At 39.2% G+C, this 9,809-nt stretch overlaps 3 annotated features.

Moving 5' to 3' along the window:
• Positions 5,672 to 6,264: an enhancer, noted in NCBI's record as "OCT4-NANOG hESC enhancer chr6:93556962-93557554 (GRCh37/hg19 assembly coordinates)". NCBI's record gives its function as "activates a minimal SCP1, AML or CMV promoter by ChIP-STARR-seq in naive H9 embryonic stem cells {active_cell/tissue: H9 hESC(naive)}" and the evidence as "EXISTENCE:reporter gene assay evidence [ECO:0000049][PMID:30033119]".
• Positions 6,265 to 6,856: an enhancer, noted in NCBI's record as "OCT4-NANOG hESC enhancer chr6:93557555-93558146 (GRCh37/hg19 assembly coordinates)". NCBI's record gives its function as "activates a minimal SCP1, AML or CMV promoter by ChIP-STARR-seq in naive and primed H9 embryonic stem cells {active_cell/tissue: H9 hESC(naive and primed)}" and the evidence as "EXISTENCE:reporter gene assay evidence [ECO:0000049][PMID:30033119]".
• Positions 7,449 to 8,040: an enhancer, noted in NCBI's record as "OCT4-NANOG-H3K4me1 hESC enhancer chr6:93558739-93559330 (GRCh37/hg19 assembly coordinates)". NCBI's record gives its function as "activates a minimal SCP1, AML or CMV promoter by ChIP-STARR-seq in primed H9 embryonic stem cells {active_cell/tissue: H9 hESC(primed)}" and the evidence as "EXISTENCE:reporter gene assay evidence [ECO:0000049][PMID:30033119]".

The following is a 9,809-nucleotide window of genomic DNA, read 5'->3' on the forward strand; positions in this document are numbered from 1 at the left end:
TTTTTAAATCTTTTATACCATATTTTTTCAGTACCTTTTCTATGCTTAGAAACACAAATACTTAGCATTGTATTACAATTACCTGGAGCATTCAGTACTGTAACATGATGTACAGGTTCATTGCGTAGGAGGAATAACCTATACCAGATAGCCTAGGTATATAGTGGGCTATACCATCTAGATTTGTATTATATAAAGTATACTCTATAACGTTTGCACAACAAAATCACCCACCGATGCATTTCTCAGAATGTATCCCTGTCATTAATCAAGTCATGACAGTGTATCTCAGTATAAAGCACCTCTACTTTCTTGGTTATGAATGCCATCTGGAGGTCAGCCTCAACAACCTAGTCCATTATTCACAAGGATTCTATATTAAAGATATATTTTTAAATGCTTCATTTCTGTTACTATTACCTTAATCCAAGCAATGATTATATTTTTCACAAAATTGCTTCCTAAATGGGCTTTCTGTCTGCACTCATAACCCTTCAATCTATTTTCCCCCAAACAGTCAAAGAAGTCTTTTTAACTGTCAAGTCAGTGTCTTGAATAAAACCTTTCAGTGTCTTCCCATTGCTGTTAAAATCCTCAAGGGCCTGTGATTATTGAGCCTTGTCCACATTCCCAGGCTCAACTTGAAATGTTCTGGCTGCCTCAGTCATGGTGAGCCAGCCACACTGTTCCTCAGGCCTGCCAAGCTCCTTCCCCTTCAAAGCTTCTGCACATTATACTTCCTCTACCCGGTACTTTCTGTAGCTAGCTCCTAATGATTCTTCAAGTTCAGTGCCTCCTCCTTAGAGGGGTTTTCCTTGATCTCCATCTAAATTAGATCTCCTTCTTCCACATTTTCCCTATTCCATATGAACATTAAAACTTCATTCATAAAATAAACATTAACATTACATTGCCGCAGAAGCCAGAATCACTCTGATCACTTACTACAATCTGTCTTTGGATAGTAATTTGTGTGGTTATTTATTTAATTACTGACTTTTCTACCAAAATAACAGTTCTATTGATAACTGTTATTTTGGCCTGGGGGTCCCCAAGGCCCTTTTAGGGGATACTTAAAGCATTTTGTAAGTCTGATTGCCTTTGCAAGGACCTCAAAGCACAGAATGTGCTTCGGGCTCCCTGTGTATCATGTCTAGAAGAAAAGATATACCAGTTAGACAAGTTGACATATCAACCATCATTTTGAGATATAGTCATAAATGAAATAAAATGTTCTTCCTCCAGTTTGCAATGGAAGTGCAATTGTAGTTACTGATATCACAGCCCCAGAAATATCAATGAGGAACAGAACACAGTATAAGACATGAATACCACCAAACGAGTATGTGCAAGGCTAGGAAGGGAGCAATCTGGGTGAGAAGTTTCAAGTGGTGCAGTGCTATTCACTCTCCCCAATAAACCTGTACATTTAAACATTTGCTTTTCCCTATGATATTCTTTATCTGAGTTTCTCTCTCTGTCTCTCTCTCTCTCTTTTTAAAACTCTGATTTTGAACTACTTGCTCTTATATTTGTATTTGACTTTGCTGCTGTCTTAATTCTCTTTAAGGTCAGTCCTGCCTGACCATTCAGAACACATGTGCCTATCCCTCTCTAATAGTTCCTATTTGCCTACTTAGAATTAGAAATGGTCCTTCTAGAATCAGAGAAGAAAGAGAAAAGATTTAAAAATGAAGTGTAAAATCCATGGTATAAGTTTAATAAGCACGCTGGATGTAAAATAAATAGTGGTTGTAAAAAAATGGCTTTGTGGACATCATTTTAGTGTGAAAAGGACTGCAATTTATAGTCTGGACAACTTGCATACCTGCTCCATTACAACAATTTAACTGATGAGACATAGTGGGCTGAATGATGACCCCAAAAAGATATGTCCATGATTTAATCCCTGGAGGCTGTGAATATTGTGGCAAAAGATATGATTAAATTAAGAGAGGAGGAGTTTATCCTGGATTATCCATGTGAGCTCTAAATGTAATCACATGCCTTTTCATAAGAGAGAGTTTTGAGACACACGCCAAGAGAGAAGAGAGGAGGGGAAAAGGCAAAGTAGCTGCAGTGGCAGGGCTCAGGGTGATGTGGTCACAAGCAAAGGAATACCTATAGCCAGAAGCAGCTGAAAAGGCAAGAATGGATTCTTTTGCAGAGTATCTAGAGGCAGCATGGCCTTGACAATATGTTGATTTCAGACTTCTGAACTCCAGAATTGCGAGAGAATAAACGTCGGTTGTGTTGTCACCCAATTTGTGGTAATTTGTTATGACAGCCCCAGAAAACTAATAAACAAGATAAACATTAAAGCCACATTATCACATTACTTTTGTTTTCTTGAGGTTCAATTTGTGTGTGTGTGTGCATGTGTGTGTGCGTGTAATTCAATTGAAGAAATGTGAAGCCCAAATTACATGACACATATGAGTAAAGTCTGAGCAGAGAAAATGTGTTATATCTCTTTCCTATAGACACACACATTTATAGTATGTAAGATGCTTCAATTAGCAAAAAGTGTTTTTAATGTTGAGAGACCTGTTGATTACACCCATGTAGGCATTAAAACTCCTTTCACAAAATAAATATCCCTTTGAGGCAGAAGGAACCAGCACTCTATGAATGCATAAATTGAACGTGATCATGATCATTGTGCTGTAAACATCTGTTTACATTTCCTAGGATCTTGCCATGATTTCCACATTTTGTCTAATTTGTCATGACACCATCTGTTTGAAGATAGATTGATCACTGGTGGTTGGATTATTGGGTAAGTAGTGCTTATGTTTATTATGATGTACCTAACAATACCTTAAAATTATATTTAATGTGAATTAATTTTTAGGTGACAGTGGTTATCCCAGAGGTCCCATTTGCTTACAGCAGTGGGAACCACAGTAAAACAAAGATACAATTTTATAATCAGTTGAATACAACACATCCCAGAAATAAGATTTCAAAATTCAAGCCTAAACCTCTTTGGATGAAAAAAAGGCTCCATTTTGTACCTTTGATAGGATACACTCCAGAAGTCTTGTGACCTTGATACTTGCCAATGACAGAGTTAAGTTGCTGGTTGAGTAAGTATCCATCTGAGCTGTGGCAGAGCCCTGGGCAGCCCCAAGGCTAAGGCTTCTCAAGTCCTGAGTTTGCTGAGGTGCATTTGTTAACAGAGACCAGTCTTAGATCTATAGGCCACGGTGAGTTTTATCTCAATTTGATATGTTTGAGGGGGTCTTTTAATCTTTGGAAGTATATTTCTGAAATGTAAAATTTTAAAATACTCTGTTATCAATCAAAGAGTTGCTTTCGATTCTTATGCTAAAATTTTAGGTTATTTTAATTCAAATATTAAATTTTTATTTCCTGACCAAATTGATTCTAATAAGACTAAAACTTCTATGCTATTGTAAAACTTGCTATTATAATCTGCTTAAATTTTTAAGGATTTTTATCCATCCTTTGATCCTACAGTCTTAAGGCTATATGTCTTCATGGACATAATTAAAAATTTACCAAAAATAAATTAATTTTGAATAATATCTGTTCAATATGACAACACTTGAAGCTAAGATTCAATGTTACTGTACCATATTCTTTATAGAGATATAGAATTCAAACTGACACATATTAAGCTGGAATTAAAAGTTTACACACACACACACTCACACACTTGAACATTATACCAAATGATTATACTTAGCTATTTATTCACCTCAGGTTATAATATCTTCATGCTAACCAGCATTAAATTCCCCACCCCTAAATAGTCCACTGAATTTTAAGTGACAGAAATACTTTACAGGCATAATTACAAAGTAAAAAGAGATGGTTATGAGCAAACATAGAACTCATTTTTTCAAAACACTGTTGAACTATGCAATTGTAGGTGTTTTTTAACTAGTCAAAATAATTCACCACCATGCCTTAATTCCTACTCTACACTCTCTTTGCCATTGCTGCTGTAACCCAGGGTCCTGGGGTTTTGGGGTGTACACTCTGAAAAAGTACCCACTTGTAACTCTTACTCCTTGAGTTCTTGTTTTTTCAAAAAAGTTCCAGGAAGAAGCTCAGTCCATAGATGCCTGAGTTGGAGATAACCTTTGGCAAGTTCCCCTCATTACCATCACCATACTAAAATCCCCGCCCAGGGAGGTGATTTTTCACCATTTTTTATACATGCAATGTATGTAGAAGCATGATTGGCAACAGTGCCTGAGCTGCCTTTACTCTACCTCTACAATGACTCAACTCAGCAGCCCAATAAAAGCTCTGTTTTCACAGATGTTCTGGGAGATACCACTTTGGAAACTATCCCTGGTGTCCTCCTTACTTGTTGAAAGTAATAAAATCCCCTTGTTAAATCCTCCTTGGTTGTGGTCACTGGATTGCCACACACCAAGTGATTAAACCCACCCATAGTGTAGATAACACTACCAATAGTAAAATGATAATCTCCCTGCAAACATTATTACCAAATCTATGGTTTGGAGTGCTCCTCCCCTCATGAATTCAGTGAGGATTTGTTCTAACAGCCAGCATTCCACGTATTCCCATAACCTCCCAGAGCTATGGATGGATATGACCTATCCATCCAATCCTTCCTCCTCTATTTAGCCCAGCCAAGGACACCTGTCTCCTTTTAGTTCACAAAGAGTTTTCCATTTGGGGTTGTAAGGTTGAGCTAATCACAATAAAAGAAGATTCTTGTGAAAAAATGAGATTAGGCCTCCCTGAAATAGCAAGGGAAAAGCCATGTATTTTGTCCCCCGTGTGACACCTGCTGACATAGACTTGTCTTCCTATGGATACTCGGTAAGGAAGAATCTTCATGACTCTTTTTTTCTCACTAGAGATTAAGATGTGAAGAGGAAAAGGATCACATGTTTGGGATCAAGTTGCTGTTCCCAGACTATGTAAATTGTTCTCAGCCATTCAGTAATAAGGACCAGCCATTCATCTCATTTTAGAGAAAGAATTAGTGAAGTCTAAAGGGAGAGAAAAGCAGGTGTTTCAAGATTTATGTGTGGATGATGCTAGCTTAAAAGGAAGATCTATTAGGTGCATCACAGCATGGAGATATCAATATGGTAGAGAGGAAGCTGGGATTAAGATAATTTTTTTGTTGTTTTTTAATCCAAAGTTCACAAACTGAGCCACCTTGTGAAAGGAGAAACTGGTAGGTAATGTAGAGTGCAACAGAAGTGTTTATTGAGTATGGTCCTTGGATTCTCTGGGAAGAAAACAAATCCTAAAGAATTAATTTTCCAGGGAGGCCTTGACATAGCTGCTTCAGGAAAGTCATTGCAACATCAGGTTATATGAGTAGGAAAGAAGTTCAGGAGCAAGGTATTGTTAATGTTAAGAACATGGATTCAGGAAGCAGGATGTCCAAATTTTCATCCAAGCTTCTACAGTAATTTGCTGAATGTTCACAGGTAAGCTATTTTACCACTGATGGCTTCAGTATCCTCAGCAGTAAAACTGGGGCTGGGGAAGGGGCTGTGTGTGGCAGTATTAGAATTTAGGTGTGTGTGGCAGTGTTATAATTTATCTTCTATGTGTTGTAAAGATTTATGAATATTTTATGTGTCAGATATTTAGCACAGTACCGAAATATAGGTAGCTCTCAGTAGTTGTTAAAAATTATTTTTATTTGTATTATTATTTTAGGCTAAAAAGGGGAGTTGGGAGTTACTACTGGTTCAATGGTTTGACTAACACTCCTCATGTTGTCACACGGTAAGGGAGGAGACCACCCCTCATATTGTCTTATGCCCAATTTCTGCCTCCAAAGAAAGAAGAAGTAAAAACTAAAAGGCAGAAATGAAATCCACAAGCAGACAGTCTGGCGCCACACCCTGGGCCTGGTAGTTAAAGATGGACACCTGACCTAATCGGTTATTTGCATAAGAAAAGCACTGTAAAGATCCCTGTCCTGTTCTGTTCCGTTCTAATTACCGGTGCATGCAGCCCCCAGTCACGTACCCCCTGCTTGCTCAATCGATCACGACCCTCTCACACGGACCCCCTTAGAGTTGTGAGCCCTTAAAAGGGACAGGAATTGCTCACTCAGGGACCTCGGTTGTTGGAGATGTGAGTCTTGCTGAAGCTCCCAGCCAAATAAAGCCCCTCCTTCTCTAACTCGGTGTCTGAGGGGTTTTGTCTGCAGCTTGTCCTGCTACAATGGAATTATTATTTTGTTGTAGGGTGGAGAGGGTTTTAATTCTATTATATCCTCCATGATTTAGCATGAGCTTAGAGGTTAGACAATGCTTTACATCTGTCCTTGTTCATCTGGGTTCATTACTGAACCAATCTGAGAGTCAGTTACCTCATCAGTTAAATAAGATAAGTATATAAACTGCCCAACACTTAGTAGGGATTCAGTATTGTTTATTTTCATGCATCCTTCCTCTCAACTTTGTACTTATACTAAGAAAAAGTAACAGCAAGTGACAGAAGCCACAACAATAGAATCTTAGAAATAGAAAAATGTTTGTGCTTGGACCAATCTACATGCTAAATAGCTACAACTTCTTAGGCTCTCAGTAAATTGTGGTTCCTTGGGGAGCAGCCTAGGCTACTTAAGGTTAATCACTGGTGCTTAGAGTTAATTGTTATCAATCTGTTTTTCAAAGGCTGCTCTGCTGGAGTTTCCATACATAGCAATCAGTTCCAACAGCAGCTCCAGGCCTAAATGAGTTCTTCTAATACTTTTCCCATAATCAATTTTCAAAAATATATCAAACACAGTAAAAAATAGACCTCAACATTAAACTTGTCATCTAGTATGTAGTGTTTCAAACATGAGAGTGCATCAGCATCGCCTAGAGGGCTTGTTAAAACACGTTGCTGGACCTCAACCTCAAAATTTCTGATTCAGCATGTCTGAAGTGGGAGCAAACCCAACTGCTACTGATGCTGCTGCTCCTGGAAAAGGAAAAAAGTTTTTAGGGTTTGTAGAATTTGTAAAGAAGCAAGGGCGATAAGCGTATCTCTTTTGAGGGTTCTAACTTGACTAAAATTGACCAGCTTCTTTGTCATTACCAAGCATTCACTGCCACCCATGCACTGCTACTCACACAGCCCATCTCTTCTACAGCCTTTTCAACTCTTTCTACATGACCTATCAGGTTGCTTCTTTGCTCATGGAAGAATATGAGTCGAAATCATTTCTAAAGCAGAGGTACGTGCCCAGAAGCTCTCTTCTTCTCTGGACTGTCCAATCTCAGAGCTTCATGATCCCCTTGGCCATCTGCACCTTAAACTTTGGGGTTCATCCCCTCTGATCCTGTAGTCTTAAACAGAGATGCATTTTTTTCAGAGAGTGGAGGCATAACCAAGATTGCCTTACTGTTACCCTCCACTTAACTAATTTTTCCCTTTTCTTAGAGCATTTAAAATGGAAAATTTTTCTCTGACTCTTTGAGATGTAAATCTATAAGCCAGAAAGGTCTTTCTCAAGGAACTAGGAGCCATCCCTTTGAAATGCAGTCATTAAGAAAAACAGTGCCCCTATCTCCCTATCTGGGAGAGTAGGAGCCTAACTTTGACAAGCACCAATTAGCAAGCAAAATGGCCATATCACATTAGCCAACCTCCCTCCTAAGGTCTTCCAGGTACTTTTTCCTTTAGCTCACCCCAGCATTCAAAAGTTCTCTTGCCTTTTGTTTTAGCAGAGTTGAGCTCACTTTCTTTCACAGATTGCAACAGACTTGACCCCTATTACAATAGTCTTGAATAAAATCTTCCTTGCCTCTTAACTCTGTCCAGTGCAATTTTCCTTTGACAGGAGACTCTCCCTTTCTGACTTGGATGAATTTGTCCCTTCTCTGATTTATTGAACAAGCCTGTTTCTTGCTCTCAACTCTCACCTACATTTCTGTTTAGTTGTTCCTGAATTTGAGCTTGAGATGCTCAAGACTTCATCCCAGCTACTAAATAAGGAGACAGATTCCATGGCACATTTTAGCATTTGGGGCCACAGCACCAGTCTCCTGATGGCATAATGAGATCACGGCATATCCCATAAATATTGCATGCTTTTCTGGCCGTCAGTGCCAGGCCCTGGTGACACAAAGACAAATAATGTGGCCCCTTCTTCTGGTTGTAAAATATATTTCCCTGGAGTGGTGGAGAATAATACTATACCCAAACGCTATGTCCAGGTAGACTAGCTGTTTGTAAGAGGAAGGTGACTACATACTCTGACTTCCCTGATAAACAGAAGGCAAAGAACAACTTGAGAAACTGGCTCAACCACTTATCTGGATGGGAAGAGTGACTAAAGACTGAGAAAGTATCTACCTTCACTGGCAGCCAGTCATTGATTCTGTACGAGGCTTTCTGATTATTCCCTAATACTAAGGTGATCTTATAATTTATCAGCCTATTGTGACACTTTTGAGAAGAATGGCATGCTACTAAACACACTGGGACAACACATATAAACAGAACTATCATGAACAAAATGGGATTTAGGATAATCTTATCTGATACCAACCATGAAGACATTTGTAATAAGTAGTGATGAGGGAGGTGGTTCGTTTCTATCCTCACCAGTGCTCATACACTCACAGATAAACACAGAGCCATGAATAATGTAAACTCAGGTCTCATTTCAGGATAATGTAAACATTAGGAGGACACCCCTTATATATACCCCTGAGGAACCCACAGCTTCAATCCCTGTGTGGCAAAGGTCCTACTGGGCTTTCTTTCTCATGCCTCCATATGTACGTACCTCCTTTAATCTCTTTTGAACACTGAAAGCCCCACCTCCTCTTCAATCGCAGCCCCTCTGACCTATACTTTATTACAGATGGTGAGGAAAGGTAGTCTGGGCCCAGGAAAAATATCTAAAGAAGAATGAAAAGAAAATGGTGGAAGATTGGCCATTTCACATTGTCAGTTTAATTTCCTGCCTGTTTATCTTTGAGCATTACTTAAATGGAGTCTCTTTTTCTAAATCTGAGTCACATTATAAATCTCTCTCTTCTATTAGCTCAGCCTGGAAAAATCCTAACCTGGAGGAGGGAAAGGGGTTATCACCACCACCTACCCTCCCCACCTTAGTCTGAAATTTCCCTTGACTCTCAGAAGAGGTCAAAGCAGCACTGATACAAGCTCTGTGTTCCTCCCAGGGTATGTGCAAATACGAACTTATTAATTCTGTCCTCATTTTTGTTGAGCTGTAAAAACTACTTAATATATGGCTTTGTTTTCTTATTCAATGATTCAATTATCTTGCCTAGTGTAGATCACTAGAAGTGGATGTCATTTCATCCATTTTCCCAGCACGGAGTAATGGGCAGAGGGTCCTGAGTATCAGGACCTCTGAATAAATGGCTGATGTTCTTTCCTAAAAAGCTATTGAGACTGGCTCAGACAGTCAGACTTTCACAAATCTGAGACTGGGAGAAAGTGCTTGCTTTGCAGAAGCCAGTAGAAGCATGGGACTATATAGTGATCTCAGCAAAGGTGCCAACATCAGTAAGCCAGGACAAGAAGCTGTGTAGAGAGGAGGGCTGGGTAAAGCTCTCAGTACCCAGAGTACCGTGGCAGTTAATCTGAAGGCCACAGAAGTATAATCATGGGTTTAGTGGGCAAGTGAGCCAATAGTTCAGAGCAAATGCCAGAGGCTCGGATTTTCTTATAGTTGGTTACCTAGGGGCTTCTGCCCAAGCCATGAAGATAAGCTCCCACTTTCAAATGACGAGAGATACAGCAACATTATTGTCTGTTAAAATCATCAAAACTCTTCCCATTTTCAGGATTAAGCCAGCAAACACCATAGC

This window comes from Homo sapiens, chromosome 6, assembly GCF_000001405.40.
Source record: "Homo sapiens chromosome 6, GRCh38.p14 Primary Assembly".
NCBI classification, from domain to species: Eukaryota; Metazoa; Chordata; class Mammalia; order Primates; family Hominidae; genus Homo; species Homo sapiens.